The sequence below is a fragment of the Homo sapiens genome, chromosome Y (assembly GCF_000001405.40).
Source record: "Homo sapiens chromosome Y, GRCh38.p14 Primary Assembly".
Classification (NCBI taxonomy): domain Eukaryota; kingdom Metazoa; phylum Chordata; class Mammalia; order Primates; family Hominidae; genus Homo; species Homo sapiens.
The window spans coordinates 13110660-13130652 of record NC_000024.10 but is presented as its reverse complement, the minus strand read 5'-3'; the positions used below and the strand labels follow the sequence as shown (position 1 = coordinate 13130652).

Below are 19993 nucleotides of genomic sequence, written 5' to 3'. Positions count from 1 at the left end.
GGAGCGGGGAGGGATAGCACTGGGAGATATACCTAATGCTAGATGACGAGTTAGTGGGTGCAGCGCACCAGAATGGCACATGTATACCTATGTAACTAACCTGTGCAATCTGCACATGTACCCTAAAACTTAAAGTATAATAATAAAAGAAAAAAAAGAAAAAAAAAAGAAAAGTGGATATTTTGAACATTATTACATGTACAAATAAGAAAGAAAAGAGGAAGAGGAGAAAAAGGAAATGTTTCTCTATGTCTTTGTTGATTGACTGTATGTTGAGACACTTCTTCAACGCTTCGCATGACCAATTTACAACATTGTCTTAGCCTTCTTTTTTGCCTGAGTGTAAAGACACAAAAAACACTAAAGCTTTTGCCTTATTGTCTTTACAGTTGTTTCCCAAGCATGTGTGTGGCTTTGTAGGTGTCCCTGATAGGTAGCAGTCTTTCAAAGACCCTATTTTCTCCTAAAATTTTACTCTATGTCCTTTTAGGCTATCATGGTGTCTACTGTGGTCCTCAACATTGTAGTTTCTTGTTGCCGTTTTACTGCCAACAATAGTGGCTTATTCATTTGGCTTTTCTTGAGGACCACATGAACTCCAAGCTAGGTAAAGCAAAGGAACATACCTTGTGAAAGTCCATAAAATAATTTCCATTAAAGTCAAACAAAAACCATTCATTTCCTTGGAGCAAGATTAATTTTGCTGCTTATGAAACTGACTACATGCACCATGTATGTGGGCTGTCATCTTCAAGTTTTCTGGCATGCTAGGGAAAGAGGTGGAACTAGGTTAAGTTAAAATACAATGCAACGCGAATGTGCTGTAGTGGCTTTTTTATTTACTAAGATTTTTGATTTTTGGTTTGTTTTGGTTTGGTTTTGTTAAGGTTTTTGGTTTTGGTACACTTTTGACTATTTTTGGAGTTCTGATAAGGCTGATTCTAAGAGTTTTTGCCAAGCATTTTAGTATTTTGGGGGAGGGATTGCCTTCAGGGAGTGCTAACTTCAGTTTTTGGTTTCTGCTTTATTTTGTAAGAGCAGTTTACTTCAAAATTTTATTGCTGCTGTAATAGTGCTAGATCTTATTTACAGAGAGACATATATTAGAAATGCCCTTGTAATCTCTCTGTATTTAACATGATTTCTCTTTAGGTATTGACCAGCTCTTTTTTCATACAGAAGTGTTGGAGCACTGACCATGCCTAGAAATACCTGTGTTTCTTCAATTCATAAGTTATTCCAAAGATTTCTTGAAATTGTCTTATTAGGAAATGGGGGAACACAGGACTAAGGAGGAAGAAACTGATTTGGATCCCATATGATGGGAAATGCAGAGGGTTAAAGAGGCTACGCTGAAGAGTTTAAATAGAAAGGATATTATTGTGGAAAAGAAAGGTTGGTTTTCCCTTCCGTTATTATTTATGTCACTGGACAACTCTCAGAAATAAGATGAGACGGAAATATTATGGTGAGAAGGGGAAACAGAGAGATGAGAAGCAGCAGCTAAAAACTTTTGTCTCTTGGTTGAAAACAGGAGTTCTTCCAGCTTTTCTTGTTGTAAAACAGACTTGTCCACTGAGGAAGTTTTACTGTTCCCAAGCCCCATCTCTTCTTGCAGAAATCCCCCATCCTGCCTTTATCTTGTACTATGCACTAAATGTTTTAGTTTCCCCAAATTTAGATGTTGAGATCCTAAACCACAATGTAATGGAATTAGGAGCTGGGGTCTTCGGGAATTTAACTAGGTAATAAAGACAGATCCCTCCTGAATGACACTAGTGCCATTATAAAAGATTTGAGAGCTTCTTCTTTCTTACTTTTTTTTTTTTTTTGTCTTCTCTGCCATAGAGGAATACAGTAAAAAGAGGGCTGTCTGCAAACTGAGAAATGGGCATTCACCATTTGGTTCTGGACACCTGGTCATTTGATATCCGGACATTGGGTCTGCTGGCACTTTTGATCTTAGACTTCAGCCTCCAGAACTATGAGAAAATTTCTGCTGTTTAAGGTACACAGTCTATACTAATTTGAACTAGCAACCTGAAGTGACCACACACTGAAAAGAAGCCTGAAGAGGAAATACGGATTTGGGGAATGTGGAAAAAAATAAGTAGTTGTGACAGTGAAATAGAGTCAGAGTCTGCAGACTTTGCAAGGTGGGGAGACAAGGGATGGTGAAGAGGGAGATTGTTTCTTGAGTGCACATGGAAAGACAAAATTTGGGACTAAATTTTTATGCTTTTAATAGGTAAAATGAATAGAATTTTCTCACTAGCCAAGGAGTTTTATATTGGCTGGAGAAGTGGAATTCTGACTAAGAAAAAACTTTTTGTCTTGGAAGTTAATATAAAAACCCATTTTAGTGGCTTGATTAACAATTATATTACCACTAGTTTAAGAATAAAGTGAAATGTATCACCTAATGACTAATGCTTGTAGTCATAAGTGGAAAAGTACATATTTTTATTGTTATATCCATGATATGCTCTATTGCCTTGGACTTTTCCATAACAGGTGTTTTTTCTCAGTGGGTGCCTGTCCCACATTCAGTTTGACATGGATCACATAACTTTCCCACCTGCAAACTGAGTTTTTTTCTCCTTCAGAAAATGAAAAAACCAAAGCAAAAGTTGACAAGTGGGATCTAATTAAACTTAAGAGCTTCTGCAAAGCAAAATAAACTACCAACAGAGTAAACAGACAACCATAGAATGGGAGAAAATTTTTGCAGTCTCTGCATCTGACAAAGGCCTAATTTCCATATCCAGTGTCTATAAGGAACTCAAAATATGTGTAAGGAAAAGTAATCCTATTAACAATTGAGCAAAAGACATGAACAGACACTTTTCAAAAGAAGGCATACATGTAGCCAACAAATATATGAAAAAAACCCTCAACATCACTGATCACTAGAGAAATGCAAATCAGAAACCACAATGAAGGGGAGGGTTCAAGTTGGCTGAATAGAAACAGCCCCAGTCTGTAGCTCCCAGTGAGAGCAATGCAGAAGGCAGGTGACTTCTACATTTCCAGCTGAGGTACCCTGTTCATCTCACTGGGACTGGCTAGGCAGTGGGTACAGCACAGACAGCAAGAAGAAGCAGGGTGTGGTGTGCTTCACCTGGGAAGTGCAAGGAGCTGGGGACCTCCCTCCCCCAGCCAAGGGAAGTGGTAAGGGACTATGCTACCCACCTGGGCTACTATGCTTTTCCCATGGGTTTTTGCAATCTGCGTATCAGGAGATTCCCTTGTCAGCCTACACTACCAGGACCCTGGCTTGAAATTCTCACTGCCAGCTCAGCAGTCTGGAGTCTGCCTGGGATGATTGAGTTTGGTGGGGGGAGAGGTGACCTCCATTACTGTGGCTTTAGTAGGCGGTTTTCCCGTAACAGTGCTAAGGGAAGTGGGCAGAATTCACCACAGTGCAGCTAAGTGGCTGCGGCCAGACTGGTTCTCTAGATTTCTCCTCACTGGGCAGCCTATCTCTGCAGAAAATCCAGCAGCTCCAGTCAGGGGCTTACAGAGAAGACTCTCAGATCCTTGGGACAGAGCATGTCAGGGGAGGGGCAGCAGCAGTCTCAGGTTTGGAAGACTTAATCTCTCCCACCTTCCAGCTCTGAAGAGAGTGGCTGATGCTGATAAGGGGGTTTCTCCCAGCACAGAGCATTAGCTCTGCTAAGGGACAGACTGCCTCCTTAAGCGGGCTCCTAACCCCATGCCTCCTGACTGGGAGAGACCATGTAACAGGGGTCAACAGGTACCTCATACAGGAGAGCTCCCAGTGGTATCAAATCAGTGCCCCCCTGGGATGAAGCTTCCTGAAAAAGGAACAGGCAGCAGTCTTTGCTGTTCTGCATCTTCCACTGGTGATAGAAGAACAGGGTTTAGAGTGGACGCCCAGCATACTGAAACAAACCTGCAAAACAGGGGCGTGTTAGAAGAAAAACTAACACACAGAAAGCAACAACATCAACAAAAAGACTCCCCCCTGACAAAAACCCCATCCAAAGGTCATCAGCCTCATTGGTCAAAGGTACATAAATCCACAAAGATGAGGAAAAACCAGTGCAACAATGCTGAAAATTCCAAAAGCCAGAATGCTGCTTCTCCTCCAAGTAATCACAACACCTCTCCAGCAACAGCACACACGGGGGAGGATGGTTAGGGAACCTATATGATGAAAGACTAGGGGAAAATTTTCTAGCCTAGCATGCAATTTAAATGTCCAGATACAGAAAGAGATCCCCAAGTGCACACAGTTCAAAAAGTATTCTCCATGGTACATTGTATTCAAACTGTCAACATTTAAAAATAAAGAGAATTCTAGAAACAGCAGAAGAAAAGTTTCTGGCCACTTAGAAATCCTCATCAGACTAAGAATTTTTTTTCAGTAGATACTTTACAGGCCAGGAGAGAATGTGATGATATATTTAAAGTGCTAAAAGAAAAAAACTGCTACTCAAGGATAATATGTTCAGTAAAGGTATCCTTCATAAATGAAGGAGAAATAAATTATTTCCCAGATAAGCAAGAGCTGAAAAAATTTATCACCAATTGCCCTATAAGAAAGGCTTAAGGGAATTATATATCTAGAAGTGAAACAACAGTGTCTATCATGATGAAATCACGCACTACTATAAAACCCACTGGTAATGCAAACACACAAATAATGAAGAGAATGACTACAAATGTAACTACTACAGAAAATCACCAAACTGCAATGATAAACAAAGAGAAAGAAAAGCAAAGGGCTAAACAAAACCACCAGAATTCAATTCATAAAATTATAGAAATTAGCCCTCAGATATTAATAACTGCTGGGAACAGGCCATAAGCTTGTCATAAATGGGCCTTAAAGAAATTGGCCATAAACAGGATTTCTGCAGCAATGTGACTACATGTTATAGCATCATGGAGTGCAGTGGCACGATCTCGGCTCACTGCAACCTCCACCTCCCAGGTTCAAGATGCTCATGATGCTATAACACACACTGCTAGAAGTTGCTGGCTAACTGGAGTAGGGCAAGGAACACTTGGCCCACCTGGAATGGAAAACTGCTCAAACCTCAAACAATAGCAGGAGTGGCCTATGCCTTAACATGTTTTTGCTGCAGATAATCAGCCAGAGCCTGTTTCTCTCCTCTTTGCTAAGAATGCTTTGTTTCCCATAAGAAATGCTTTTACCTAATCTATAACCTGTAGAAACAATGCTTACCATTGTCTTGCTGTCAATAAATATATGGGTCAAACTCCGTTTGTGGCTCTCAGCTCTGAAGGCTGTTAGCCTCCTGATTCTTCTATTTCTGTGTCTGTGTCTTCAATTCCTCTAGTGCGGCTGGGATGGGGTCTCCATGATCGAGCTGATCTCAGCAAATAACCTTGAATGTAAATAGATTAAATTGTCCACTTGAAATATATATACTGGCTAAATGGATTTTCATGAATGGCTGAACTACACTGTGCCTGCAAGAACTCATATCATGCATTAGGACAAATACAGAGTAAAAGTAAATGGATGGAAAAAAATATTCCAGGCAAACAGAAATCAAGAATAACCAGCCCTGAGGTATGGTGGCAGGGTGCCAAAAAGTATTATTAACCAATTGTAAATGTAGCTACTATAAAAGTAGCTATATTTACATAAAAGAAATGCGTTCAAAAAAGTAAAAAGAGTCCAATAAGGTCTTTATATAATGATAAAGGGATCAATTCAGCAAGAGGATATGCCAATTCTAAATATATATGCGACCAACATTATAACTGCCAGAAATATAAAGTGAATACTATTAAAGGAAAAGAGAGACTCATATACAATAGTAATTGAAGACTTCAACCCCTCACTCTCATCATTAGATAGATAATCTAGATGATAGAATATTAACAAAGATACATTGGATTTAAACTGAGCTTTACTTAACCATAATCCCAGCTACTTGGGAGGCTGAGGGAGGAGAATCACTTGAACCCGAGATGCAGAGATTGCAGTGAGCAGAGACCATGCCATTGCACTCCATCCTGGGTGACTGAGAAAGACTCCATAAAAAAAAAAAATTCCTATGCATTACAAAATGGACCTAACAGATGCCTACGAAACACTTCATCCAGCAGGCACAGAATATACGTTCTTCTAATCAGCACATGGACTATTTGCCAGGATAGACCATCTACCAGGGCACAAAAAATGATTCAACAAGGTTGGGCATGGCTCACATCTGTATCACAGCACTTTGGGAGGCCAAGGTGGATGGATCACAAGGTCAAGAGATTGAGACAACCCTGGCAAATGCAGTGAAACCCTGTCTCTACTAAAAATACAAAAATTAGCTGGGCATGGTGGCATGTGCCTGTAGTCCCAGCTACTTGGGAGGCTGAGGCAAGAGAATCGCTTGAACCTGGGAGGCGGAGGTTGCAGTGAGCCGAGATCGTGCCACTGCACTCCAGCCTGGCAACAGAGTGAGACTCCATCTCAAAAAAAAAAAAGTTCAACAGATTTTTAAAAACCAAAACTATCAAATTTCTTCTCAGACTACTATGGAATAAAACTAGAAATAAACTTAAAAACAAATATTAGAAACTGTACAAATACTTAAATATTAAACAAGATGCTCTGGAGTGAACCTTGGGTCAAGGAAGAAATTATGGATGAAACTTTAAAATTCCTTGAAATACAAAAATATCTAAACTAAACAATCAAACCTAAGGTATATAGCAAAAAGAGTGCTAACAGGGAGGTTTATAGTAATAAACTCATATCAAAACACTTGAGAGACTTCAAATAATCTATATAACACTGCACCAGTAGCACTAGAAAAGCAATAAGAAATCAAACTCAAAATTGGTAGAAGAAAATAATTCATGAAAATCGAGCAGAATTAAACAAAATAGAGACTAAAGGAATAACACAATGTTTCATTTAAATAAGAAATTGATTTTTAAAAAATAAAGAAAAAGAGGCTGAGTTCAGTGGCTCATGACTGTAATCCCAACACTTTGGGAGGCCAAGGCAGGTGGATCACCTGAGGTCAGGAGTTCAAGACCAGCCTGGCCAACATGGTGAAACCCCATCTCTACTGAAAAAAAAAAAAATACAAAAAATTAGCTGGGTGTGGTGGTGCATGCCTGTAATGCCAGCTACTCGAGAGGCTGAGGCAGGGGAATCATTTGAACCTGGGAGGCAGAGGTTGCAGTGAGCCAAGATTGCACAACTGCATTCCGGCCTGGGTGGCAGAGCAAGAATCCATCTAAAAAAAAAAAAAGAAAAATAAAGAAAAAGGGACTGGGCATGGTGGTTCCCACCTGTAATCCCAGCATTTGGGGATGCTGAGGCGAGAGGATCTCCTGAGATCAGGAGTTTGAGACCAGCCTGGCCAACATGGTAAAACCCCATTTCTCCTAAACTGCCAGCCAGACTAACAACAACAAAAGACAGAAGATCAAAACAAAATCAGAAATGAAAACAAACAAACATTATAACTGACACTGCAGACATACAAAAGATTATCAGAGACTTTTATGGACAACCACATACTAAGAAACTAGAAAACCTGGAAGAAATAGATGAATTCCTAGACTCATGCAATCTACTAAGATTGAATTATGAAGAAATAGAAAACCTAAACAGACAAATAACAACAAATGATTTTGAATCATGAATAAAAGTATTCCAACAAAAAAGAGTCTAGGACAGGCCTGGCTTCACTACTGCATGCTACCAAACATTCAAAGAAGAAGTAACAAGAACTCTCCTCAAACCATTTTTAATAATTGAAAGGGAGCAAATTCTCCCTTCCTAACTCATTCTATGAGGCCATGATTATCCTAACATCAAATACCAACAAAAGACAACAAAAAATAAAAAATCATCTATAGGCAATATCCCTGAGGAACATAAATGCAAAACTCCTCAACAAAATACTTGTAACTGACTCCAACTGCACTCCAGAAAGATAATACATCACTATCAAGTGGGATTTACTCTAAAGATGTAAGAATTGTATAACATATACAAATTAATAATATGGTACTTAACATAAAAAGAAAGAGGAATGGACCTATATGATCATCTGAATAGGTACAATAAGAAGCAGTTGATAAATTTAACAGCCTTTATAATAAAACTCAGTAAACTAGGCATGGATGTGTCATATCTAAATGTAATAAACACCATAAAGATAAACCTGCTAACAGTATAATGAATGGGGAACAGTGAAATTCTCTTTTAAGAAATGAAGCAAGACAAAATGCTGACTTTCACCACTCCTATTCAACACAGAACTGGTTCTCCTAATCAAAACAACCAGGCAAGAGATAGAAATGAAATATGTCCATGTTGGATGAGGAAATGCAGCAGGATAATTAAGGAATCAGAGAGACCTAGGGGTTGAGGAGGAATTATTTAATTATTTAGGTGCACCGACCCAGTCAGATTAACACCCAAAGAACTGAGCTGTGAACAGAGTCAAGCTACCTTTTAGGCATTTTGTGGGGTTGGAGGAGATCTGTGCAGGGTGAAGCATATTACAGAAGAGAGAAACAAAGACAGTTATTCAATTGAGATATGCATTACATCAGTTCTTACTTTTCAAGAAACAACATGTTTTACGACTTGAGATTATCTGCCTAGTGACCTTGCAGCTGCACAGCTAGAGAAACAGGGTCTTCACAATACCTGGGAAAGGGAGAGATAAGGCTCACTAGCCACAGAAAAACAGGCAGTTAATTTTAAAGGACTCCAGCTCTTTCTCTTCCTCAGGGGGAACTGGGTTTTCTTATATACGACTGAGTTTTTGCTTACACGTTCTTTAATTTCTTTCAATTCCTCTTCCATTTCCCCCATTTGGTGCTTTTTAAAACAAAGATGTTAATAGAAAGCACCACTATTTGCCATCTCTTCCCGGAGCTGAGCTGTTTCTTTTATTGGCAGTGGCTGATATTTGGTTAATGCCGTCAATAGCATGGTAGTGTTTCGGGTTACTACTGCCTCTATAGTTGACAAATACTCCTAATATACAGGGGTAAAAGGCAAGGGAGGATGAGGCAGATGCCAAGAATAAACAAAAACCCACCAATGAGGGTTTTGAATCCCCCAAACATTGAGAACCATCCTCCAAACAAGGAATCCAGGGACCATCCAGACCAAGTCTGAACTGGAACATGGGCCAACTTGGACATTCTAGCTGTGGTTTCCATTAGAGCTTGGCCATTATCATCCATTTCTAGGCAACAACTGGTTAAATTAAATTTTCCACATACTCCTCCTTCTGAGGCTAAGAGGTAATCTAAAGCCAATCTATTCTGATATGTAGCATTTCTCATTTGTGTTGCTTGTGTTATCAATAAATCTAGTTTCCTTGACATTTCATTGGTTATTATTTCAAGGACTGCCTGCAACCTTATGATGCGGTTGAGCATATAGATTGGGGTGCGGTATTCCCATGACCCAACTTGCGCTCAGATAGCGGGCCCATACTATTTAATGATTCTTTCAGGAGGCCATTCATTATCCTTCCAGTCTCCTATGTCTGCATCCTTTTTGACATTTGTGTCTATTTTTGTCATTATGCTTTTTCTAGTTCTTTTATTTTCATCATAAACTGGATACCCTAAGAGTTCCCCTTGCTTTAGAGGAATTAAAAAGAGGGATGGCTTGATTGTTTCTAACACACATGCCCCTGTCCATTTAGCCAGCAGTTGCCGATATGCCCATGCTCCACAGACCCAATATAGGCCAGAGGGTGCTTTCCAAGCATTTGGAGTCTTTAGCTGATGCCAAGAGTGGCTTAGGGTAGAGAATCAAGAGAAAGCATTTGGATCTGGTAACTAGGAGTCGTTCTGGGAGTTTCTCCGTAGAGTTTTGTTTTTACTCTCATCATAATACTGTTGCCCTAGGCTTATTGTTTTTCCCATTGCCTCTGTGAAAGCCTTTCCCCAACAGGCGATACAGTACTTTCCAATTATGGAGGTTTTTAACAACCAAACACTAGCTGAGGCTGTTGGTTCACTGGCAGGATTAGGCAAAGTGAATTTATGTTGTGGCATTAATTCCTTTGCCTCCCATTGCCGCTGGTCCCCCATATGAGTTCCTTCACTTACATAGCATGAGGAAATTCCTAAGCTGCCAGCTATGTTTTCAGCTAGTTGAGCAAATAAGTTTTTGGTTGATAGGGGAAGCTCAGGCACTGACTGATCAAAATGCTTACAGATCTAACATGTAAGTCTTTAATCCATCTCAAATTAATTTTTGTATAAGGTGTAAGGAAGGGATCCAGTTTCAGCTTTCTACATATGGCTAGCCAGTTTTCCCAGCACCATTTATTAAATAGGGAATGCTTGTTTTTGTCAGGTTTGTCAAAGATCAGATAGTTGTAGATATGCGGCATTATTTTTGAGGGCTCTGCTCTGTTCCATTGGTCTATATCTCTGTGTTGGTACCAGTACCATGCTGTTTTTGTTACTGTAGCCTTGTAGTATAGTTTGAAGTCAGGTAGCGTGATGCCTCCAGCTTTGTTCTTTTGGCTTAGGATTGACTTGGCAATGTGGGCTCTTTTTTGCTCCCATATGAACTTTAAAGTAGTTTTTTCCAATTCTGTGAAGAAATTCTAGAAGAAAACCTAGGCAATACCATTCAGGACATAGGCATGGGCAAGGACTTCATGTCAAAAACACCAAAAGCAATGGCAACAAAAGCCAAAATTGACAAATGAGATCTAATTAAACTAAAGAGCTTCTGCACAGCAAAAGAAGCCACCATCAGAGTGAACAGGCAACTTACAGAATGGGAGAAAATTTTTGCAACCTACTTATCTGACAAAGGGCTAATATCCAGAATCTACAATGAACTCAAACAAATTTACAAGAAAAAACAAACAACTCCAACAAAAAGTGGGTGAAGGATATGAACAAACACTTCTCAAAAGAAGACATTTATGCAGCCAAAACACACATGAAAAAATGCTCACCATCACTGGCCATCAGAGAAATGCAAATCAAAACCACAATGAGATACCATCTCACACCAGTTAGAATCGCGAACAATAAAATGTCGGAAACAACAGGTGCTGGAGAGGATGTGGAGAAATAGGAACACTTTTACACTGTTGGTGGGACTGTAAACTAGTTCAACCATTGTGGAAGTCAGTGTGGCGAGTCCTCAGGGATCTAGAACTGGAAATACCATTTGACCCAGCCATCCCATTACTGGGTATATACCGAAAGGATTATAAATCATGCTGCTATAAAGAGATGTGCACACGAATGTTTATTGCAGCACTATTCACAATAGCAAAGACTTGGAACCAACCCAAATGTCCAACAATGATAGACTGGATTAAGAAAATGTGGCAAATATACACCATGGAATACTATGCAGCCATAAAAAAGGATGAGTTCATGTCCTTTGTAGGGATATGGATGAAGCTGGAAACCATCATTCTCAGCAGTCTATTGCAAGGACAAAAAACCAAACACTGCATGCTCTCACTCATAGGTGGGAATTGAACAAAGAGAACAGATGGACACAGGAAGGGGAACATCACACACCAGGGACTGTTGTGGGGTGGGGGAAGGGGGGAGGGGGGAGGGATAGCATTAGGAGATATACCTACTGCTAAACGACGAGTTAATGGGTGCAGCACAGCAACATGGCACATGTATACATATGTAACAAACCTGCACGTTGTGCACATGTACTCTAAAACTTAAAGTGTAATAATAAAAAAAAAAAAAGGAAAAAAAATGCTTACAGAATGACTTATGGACCCGGAATTGCAGGGTTGGACACACTTGAGTCCTTCTATTCTTTTTGACAATTAGTACTGGAGCTCCAAGTCCTGCTCCTTGTCCATCAACTCGTAATAGTGCTGTCTGTCCTGCAGACCAAAAAGGTAGCTCTGGCTTTAAGTAGTAAAATTTAAAGGATTGCATGTCCTTGTCTTACAATTTGGTTTGGTTCACATACTACTTAGCAGAGCAGTCCTTCCTGAATATAAATGTTGGAGCTGTGGTAGCATAGACCAAGGAATGTTACAGTCTGGGCATCCAATTTGTGGTTCTCAGTACAGATGTTTAGGGCTGCTCCTGCTAAGCCTCTCTTGTGTTAAACCATTGCAGACTGCTTTTGGTTTTTTAGGATTATGAACATATGTGGCATGTCAGGCATCAAAGTACAAGGAAAAATGCCCTTTATAAGAGGTAGGGGCTTCTTTGGTTCAAGTTGTAAGCTCTTTTTCTTTTTCTCTCTCTGATTTAATATATACCTCAAACCAGAATTCATACAGTAAGCACTTCAGGTCATAACATGCATATAGCTGATTATTTCCTGGGTCACAGACTGAAGAGGTGTTCTGGTTGTATGCGCAGGTTCCTAACTTGGTTCCTGTACTGTAGGTATGGTACAGTAGAGTTTTAACTGTGGTATTCCTTACCCAGGTAGTATGTACACAGTGTGGGCATCTTTCTAGAGATTCCTCCCCTTTTAGTAGAGGCAGAAATGGTAACATCAGTGTATGTAATAGAAACATGCTTACACTACACATGGGCATGGCAAACTCCCTCTGGGCATAGACATTAGCAGCATTTGCAGTGGTAACATAACAATAGAACAATCAGTATTAACAGAATTATAACTAGGGTTATGAATTATATCCACATTTATTCATCCTGAGATTGTCCTCTTAGCTTCAGCTGTGCATTGACTAGTCAGCTTCTGGTATGTGACTAGAGCAGAGCTTGCAGGATCCTCAAGCTTCAGCCATGTGTAGACTGACCAAGCTCTGGTGTGGGCAGAGTAGGGCAGTCATCCTTCTTACCAGTGGTTGGATTTCATTGTAGGACCATTCAGGTGGGGTGATCTGGGTCTTGTTGGCTAATCCACTGGTTGTCATCGGAGTCACTGCTGCCGCTGCTTTCAGCCAGCTATGGTGAATCCAAGGTGTGACACCTGCAACTTTAAGAGCAGTGGGAGTAGACATGATTACAACATGGGGCCCATCCCTTAAGGGCCCCAAGGTTGTTGGATTCCACCTTTTAACACAGAGTCCCCCGGCTTATGTGGATGCACTTGGTCTGTTAGACTTATAGGTATCCTTTCTCTTCCCCAGCTTTGCACATCCTGCATTGCCACTCCTAAAGCCTGCATCTGTCTCTTAAGGGTTAACTCTCCTAACTCCTTTAAATCCCCTCTAATTTGATTAATGATTGGGGGTGCCCTTCCAAACAATATTTCATGGGACAAATACTACAAAACTAGGTAGTTTGTTTTGTAGGTGTCCACCTGACCTGGAGGAGGACCATGGGCAAGACCTGATCCCATTGTAAGTGAGTTTCCTGGCAAAACTTTTTTAGTAGCTGTTTGAGTGTCCAGTTCATCTGTTCTATCTTCCCTGAACTCTGTGGTCAATAGGCTGTGTCCAGTTTCCATTTGGTCTTTAAAAGCTGAGTCAGCTGTTGTACTACTTCTGCCACAAATGCAGGACCATTGTCTGATCCTAAGGTTAAGGGCAACCCAAATCTTAATATGATGTCTTTCAGTAGCACCTTTGTCACCTCTCATGCCTTTTCAGTCCTGGTGGGTAAGGCCTCAACCCACCCCGAGAAGGTGCAAACAAACACTAGCATATACCAGTAACCTCCTGCTTGAGGTAATTCAGTAAAGTCTACAGGCAGGTTCTCACAAGGCACAGCTCCCATTTCCTGTATTCCTGGGGTTGAGTATGTCCTTATTTTGGATTATTCCGTACACAGGATAGACATTGTTCACAAACAGCACGGGTGATGGCAGACAGCCATGGCACATAGAAATGCTGACCTATCAAAGTCTGTAGGGCTGTCCTTCCAATGTGTGTTCCTTGATGGATCTGCTTCACAAACCGTGGGGCTACTGTTTCTGGGATGGCTAGCCTCCTGTCAGAGAACAGCCACCAACTATCTTTAATATATATTTCCTGTTTCCTGATGAAAACAAGCTTGTTCACTTAAAGAGTAATTGGGTACCTCAAGTAAAGGGGGCTCTATAAGGAGAGGCATTGCTGGAGTTCTTTCTTCAGGTAAAACCTTGCTCATTGCTGCCTGCTGAGCCCCTCGGTCTGCCTTTCTGTTGCCCTGTGCCTCATAGCTTTTCCCGGTTTGGTGTTCTTTGCAATGAATGACAGCCACATTCTCTGGAGCCAATATGTCTTCTAATAATTGCCAAATTTCTTCTTTATTTTTTATATCTTTTCCTTCAGTAGTCAATAGTCCTCTGTCTTTTTATATTGCCCCATGGGCATGCAGGGTTGCAAAAGCATATCTTGAGTCAGTATATATATTTACTTTCTTCCTCTTCGCCAATAACAGTGCTCTGGTTAATGCTATTAATTCAGCCTTCGGAGCAGAAGTCCCAGAAGGTAAGGCTTGAGCCTCAACTACTGAGTGTTGTGTTACTACTGCATACCCTGCATATCACACCCCATCTGTTATGAAACTGCTACCATCAGTGAAGTATTCAACATCTGGGCTTTCCAAGGGGGTATCTCTGAGATCTTCCCAGCTCAAGAACACTTCATCCACCATATTTATACAACAGTGGGGAAGGTCCTGCCAGCATTGAGGCAACCCACCATGCTTCCAATCAGGTTCCTCCACAGGCAGCAGGGTAGCTGGGTTCAAGGTATTTAGTCTGTAGTGTTACCCACAGATTCTCACACAGAAGCCCTTGATACTTTAGCATTCTAGAGTGGGAGAGCCAATGGCGTCCTCTTTGCTCCATTAAGGTGACTACAGTGTGTGGCACCCAGAATATTATCTTCTGACCTAGGGCTAGCTTGTTGGCATCTTCTATAAGGATCGCGGTAGCTGCCAGTGCCCTGAGGCAATGGGGCCAACCTAAGGCCACCAAGTCCAGTCTCTTGGATAAAAGTATGCTACTGGCTGATGCCAAGAGCCTAACAACTGAGTTAAGACTCCAAATACCATTCTCTTTCATTCATCCACCTACAAAAAGAAGGGTTTTTTAACATCTGGCAACCCTAGTGCTGGGGCCTGGATGAGAGCTTCCTTTATATCCTTGAAGGCCTTTTCCTCTTCTTTTTCCCATAGGAGGGGCTCTCTTTCCTTTCCTTTGCTAGCCTCAAATAAGGGCCTTGCTATAAGGGAGAAGTTTGGAATCCAGATTCGGCACAATCCCACTGCACCCAGAAATTCCCTGACCTGCTGCCTTGTAACTGAGGTGGGCAATGCACATAAAGCCTCCTTGCATGCACTTCCAAGCCTGTGCAGGCTTTGGGATACCATGAATCCTAGATATCCAACCTCCAGAAAACAGAATTTTGCCTTGTCCTTGGACACTGTAACCAGCTTCACCCAGCAGGTGAAGAAGCCTCTCTATTCCTCGGAGATATTCCTCCCTCCTGGGGGCAGCGAATAGCAAATCATGAATGTATTGTAATACCACAGAATTGTCACTAAATGGTGCAAAAGCTTCAAGGTTGGTAGCCAAAGCGTCCTCAAAGATAATGGGAGAATTCTTAAATCCTTGTGGCAGTCTTGTCCAGGTATATTACAATTGCCCCCACTGGAAGGCAAATATAGGCTGACTTTGGGGAGCAAGTCTCAAGCAAAGAAAACATCCTTTAAGTCTAGACACATGAACCACATGGCCTCAGCAGGAATCTGTCCTAACATGGTGTATGGGTTGGGTACTATGGCATAGATAGTGACAGTAGCCTTCTTTGCCCACCAGAAGTCCTGCACTGGCCTGTATTCACCATTTGGCTTGTGCACAGGCTGCAGAGGAGTATTCCAAGAGGACTTGCATTTTACTGTAATCCCTTGTTCATAGAGCCGATTTAGATGTTGTGTTATGCCTTCAATTACCTCTTTGGGTAGTGGGTATTGACAGACTCATACCAGGGCAGCATGAGTGTTAAGCTCTATTACCACTGGGTGTCTGTTTACAGCAAGTCCAGGAGGATTGTCCTCAGCCCATACACCTGGAACCTTGAAAAGCATTCCCTACATACTGTGTAGGTCCAGCTCCGGTATCTTTCTGGCACACAGTTCAGAGAGCTGCCATTCCTCAGCCTCTGGGACAGTTAGAATCAATACCATTGCCTTAGACTTTCCAAATTCCGGTGTCGTATTCCCTTCAGGTGTAAAGGAAATTTGTGCCTGCAGTTTCTGGAGTAAGTCTCTCCCTAACAAGGGCACTGGACAACTTGGCATATATAGAAACTCATGCTGCACTTCTTTTCCCCCAGTAATGTATCTCCTGGAATTGCGAAAAGGTCTCTTTTCTTTGGCCTCTGTGGCCCCTACGATAGTAGCACAGTTCTTTGAGGGGGGCGCTAATTGGGTGAGTTACCACAGAGAAATCAGCACCAGTATTGACCAAAAAATCCATTCATTAATCGGCCCCCTACTTCCATAGAGACCATAGGCTCCACAAGGCCTAAAAGGATGGAGCCTGGTCTGTCTGAGTCCTCTAAATTCTCAGCCCCTGCCAAGCCGATCAGATCGGGATCTGCCTTGGAAGTACCACTGCTAGCAACCTAACACCGCACTTGGGTGTTAGACCACTGACCATCATCATCCTTTTCCTTTTCAGGGCACTCATCTTTCCAGTGGCCCATTTGCCTGCACCTTTCACATTGATTCCTGTCCAACTGGGACTGGCTTTCATCTCTGGGTCTTGTCTGCCCTGTTCCTTGGCCTCTGCCTCGGCCTCACCCTCTAACAAGTCCAGGGTTACTTTCTGCTAGTGCAGCAGAAATTGAGCTGTCTCTTTGTTTCTATTTCTCGTTTTTCTTTCTTCCTTTTTCTCTGCCTCTTCTTCCCAGTTTTTTAATACTTTGTTTGCTATTTCCAGGAGTTTACTAATATTTTTCCCTGAAAAGCCTTCCAACTTCTGAAGCTTTCATATTATGTCTCCCTGAGCTTGCCTGACAAAGGTCATATTTATCATATTTTGGTTTTCAGGAGCCTCTGGAATAATTGGAGTGTACAGCCTCTATGCCTCACAAAGCCTTTCATAGAATGCACTGCGGCTTTCATCAGGCTTTTGGCCCACTTCTGATATGTTATGGATATTCAATGCCTTCCTTCCTCCTGCTTTTATCCTGTTCAGGAGTGCCCTTCTATATAATGCAGCTGTTCCATGTCCCCAGCCTCATTTGGGTCCCAGTTAGGGTCCTCATTTGGGTATCGCTCCACGGAGAACTGGCATGGGTTACGGGTGGCCTCTGGGGCTTCCCCTTCTAACCAGCTGAGAGCTGCCTGATTAACTCTCCTATGCTCCTCTGTATTAAAGTTAGCAAAAGTAGTTGACAATCTGGCCAGGTTGGGTTTTGTGTTATAATAATAGAATTCACCAAATCAATGACAGCCTGAGGCTTTTCTGCATACAAGGGGGCATGCTGTTTCCAATTTAAGAGATCAGTAGTGGAGAAAGGCTGATAAACATAAAGCCTAGAGCCTCCTTGTATCTGCCCTTGGTCATCATAAACTTGTGTCCTGTTCTCTCGAAGTGGCATCTGCAAAGCCTGTGGTCAGCCTGAGCGGAGGCACCCAGCTGCCTTGCTCTGTCCATCTTCCTGGTTTTTTTCTAAGGGAGGCTTTTGTTCCTCTGGGGTGAGGGGAGACTGGGCCTCACTTTCCTCTCAGCCTGACTCTGTGGATGCTCCTGACTCTGCCTCCTGCCTTATTCTGGCCAAAGACAGGTAGACGGGCACATATAGGGGGTGGACATTCCCTTTCCTCAGATGGAGCCTGAAGAATGGTTTCAGGTGAGGCTTTGAGGATTCCTTTTTGTGAGAGACTCTAGGGGCTTTAGGTTCCTCTGCTTCCTTTGGTTGGTCTGCCCAAGCCACTAATACCTTGCAGTATCCCTCTAGGCAGGGCTGTAGCCACTTGGGGTGAGGTTGTGACACAATGAGCCAAGAGTCTTTATAGGGAAACTGGTCTGATTATTCTGGTTGTCCTCCAACTCCAGCGACCACCTTAAACGCATGGCCAATTAATTTCCAGTCTATTGTACCTTCAGGGGACCACCCCACATTAAAAGCAGGCCAATCTATCTCACAGTATGTCCTTAACTTTTGATATACTGTTAAGGACAGTTTCATCCCATAATGACCTCTAAATCCTGTTTTAAAATTCTTTATCATGCACTCCAAAGGAGTTGGTTTCAATGCTTTTCCTCCCATTTCTTCCCTTGTGATGCACTTTCACTCTCAGGTCTACCAGACTGGGTCTTATTATGGGAGTTTCAGACATTGCTTAGCCAGGAACATGCCTTTCCCTCTCACAGCCTGCTGCAGCCATGGACCTGGTCCTATCAGCCATAAGCAATGTCCTAGGTCTGATTTCCCCCACACTCACCTCGGAGCACACAACCCATGCTAAACGATCTGTGCCTCCACACATCACTCCCTGCATTGGCCTCTCCTGAGACTGTCTCTTTCACACACTTTCATACACTTTCTCTGCCCCAGGACTTCTCATTAGATGAAACAGGCCTCTCCCATGTTCTGGGTAGTCTAGTTAGGCTCCCACATTCACACACATACACACCAGTCCTACCCCAGGACTCCTCATCAGATAAAACAATCCTCTCTCATGTCCTGGGTAGGTCCACACACACCCACAAACACCCACACACTCTCAGTTGGGATGAAGCCATTCTTGCCACTCTGCCAGCAAGCTCTTCCTTACTGGACTTGCCGCTCTATCAGCCCATTTTCTCCACCAGTGAACCACTTTTACTTGTTAGGGGGACATGAGGTTCATCCAAATTGGCAGACCACTCCTGCCACCCCCAGCCACTCTGGGTTGGATTAGTGGTCGGTCCCTGGGAGGTTATCAAGCTCCCCTTCGTCCCTATGGGATGGGCTTTCCTGCCTTGGGCCCTTTCTCCTTACCGCAGTTCCTGAAGTTCTGGTATCATCCTGCAGCTCCATCCCTGGTTCCACTGCACTGCCAGGCAGAGCACCAGGATGCAGGGAGAGCTGGTCTCCATCCAGATGAAGCTCCCCTGTGGTGCACCGTGGATGCTGGGTCTACCCTGGCCCCAGGGCTCTAGTCCTGCAGGCAAAGGAGACAGTAAATCTGTCATCTCCAATCCCCATCTGAGCCACTAGAAATGCTGCTGGATGATTAAGGAATCAGAGAGACCAAGTGGTTGAGGAGGAATTATTAAATTATTTAGGTGCACTGACCCAGTCAGATTAACATCCAAAGGACTGAGCCCTGAACAAAGAGTCAAGCTACCTTTAAACATTTTGTGGGGCAGGAGGAGATCTGTGCAGCAAGAATCATATTACAAAAGCGAGAAACAAAGACAGTTACTCAGTGAAGACATGCATTCATCATTTCTTACTTTTCAAGGAAAAACATGTTTTGTGACTTGAGATTATCTGTCTAGTGACCTTGCAGCTGCTCAGCTAGAGAAGCAGGGTCTTCACAATGCCTGGAAAGGGAGAGAGAAGGCTCACTAGCCACAGAGAGAAAAACAGGCAGTTAATTTGAAAGGACTCCAGCTCTTTCTCTTCCTCAGGGGAAATTGGGTTTTCTTATATACAACTGAGTTTTTGCTTACGCATTCTTTAATTTCTTTTAATTCCTGTTCCAATAGAAATATATTGTCCTTCAATGCAGATGATTTTTTTGTAACTATTAAAACCTAAATACCTAACCAAAAAACTCTTAGATCTTATATATAAATTCAATAAAGTTGCAGGATACAAAGTCAACAGAGAGAAATCAGTAGCATTTCTGTATCCTAATAATGATCCAGCTGAGAAAAACATTAAGAAGAAAATCCTATTTACAGTAGCTACTAAAAGAAACAAACCCCAACTTCGGTGACCACCTTAAAGACAGGGCCTCTAGAAGTCTAGAAGTGAATGACCTCTAGAAAGAAACTTATAAAACACTGATGAAAGAAATTGAAGAGGACACAAAGGGAAAAACATTGCATGTCATTGATCAAAAGAATTGACATCATTAAAATGACCATACTACT

General features: G+C 42.1%; 1 long non-coding RNA gene across 3 annotated transcripts, besides 10 other annotated features; it reads right to left on the bottom strand.

The window, feature by feature from the left end:
• Positions 1–5011: 5011 nt before the first annotated feature.
• LOC112268312 (uncharacterized) lies at positions 5012–19328 on the bottom strand. 3 transcript variants are annotated; one of them, XR_002958844.1, is made up of 4 exons: positions 19240–19328; positions 18891–19053; positions 12807–12943; positions 5012–5378 (listed from the first exon to the last, which is right to left on the bottom strand). It is a non-coding gene; the product is annotated as an uncharacterized LOC112268312 (long non-coding RNA). The 3 variants fall into 3 exon arrangements; XR_002958842.1 differs by lacking the exon at positions 5012–5378 and having other exon boundaries at positions 11699–12943; XR_002958843.1 differs by lacking the exons at positions 5012–5378; positions 19240–19328 and adding an exon at positions 19188–19206 and having other exon boundaries at positions 11699–12943.
• Positions 8339–9766: a meiotic recombination region, noted in NCBI's record as "meiotic double-strand break mapped by DNA meiotic recombinase 1 chromatin immunoprecipitation followed by single-stranded DNA enrichment and sequencing in the germ cells of some male individuals with PRDM9 A/A and PRDM9 A/B genotypes". NCBI's record gives the evidence for it as "EXISTENCE:chromatin immunoprecipitation-seq evidence [ECO:0000229][PMID:25395542]".
• Positions 8339–19112: a biological region, named in NCBI's record as "AZFa HERV15yq2 recombination region". NCBI's record gives its function as "recombination_partner: LOC106128902".
• Positions 8350–8826: a mobile genetic element, noted in NCBI's record as "direction; forward".
• Positions 8513–10202: a non allelic homologous recombination region, noted in NCBI's record as "sub-region ID2' (identical sequence 2'), recombines with sub-region ID2 (identical sequence 2) within the AZFa HERV15yq1 recombination region". NCBI's record gives the evidence for it as "EXISTENCE:DNA dot blot assay evidence [ECO:0005522][PMID:1634226]" and "EXISTENCE:nucleotide sequencing assay evidence [ECO:0000219][PMID:11030762, PMID:11001932, PMID:12554687]".
• Positions 8827–10191: a mobile genetic element, noted in NCBI's record as "direction; forward".
• Positions 10192–10599: a mobile genetic element, noted in NCBI's record as "direction; forward".
• Positions 10592–11721: a mobile genetic element, noted in NCBI's record as "direction; reverse".
• Positions 11731–19112: a mobile genetic element, noted in NCBI's record as "direction; forward".
• Positions 15088–17650: a meiotic recombination region, noted in NCBI's record as "meiotic double-strand break mapped by DNA meiotic recombinase 1 chromatin immunoprecipitation followed by single-stranded DNA enrichment and sequencing in the germ cells of some male individuals with PRDM9 A/A, PRDM9 A/B and PRDM9 A/C genotypes". NCBI's record gives the evidence for it as "EXISTENCE:chromatin immunoprecipitation-seq evidence [ECO:0000229][PMID:25395542]".
• Positions 16319–17597: a non allelic homologous recombination region, noted in NCBI's record as "sub-region ID1' (identical sequence 1'), recombines with sub-region ID1 (identical sequence 1) within the AZFa HERV15yq1 recombination region". NCBI's record gives the evidence for it as "EXISTENCE:DNA dot blot assay evidence [ECO:0005522][PMID:1634226]" and "EXISTENCE:nucleotide sequencing assay evidence [ECO:0000219][PMID:11030762, PMID:11001932, PMID:12554687]".
• Positions 19329–19993: the final 665 nt, after the last annotated feature.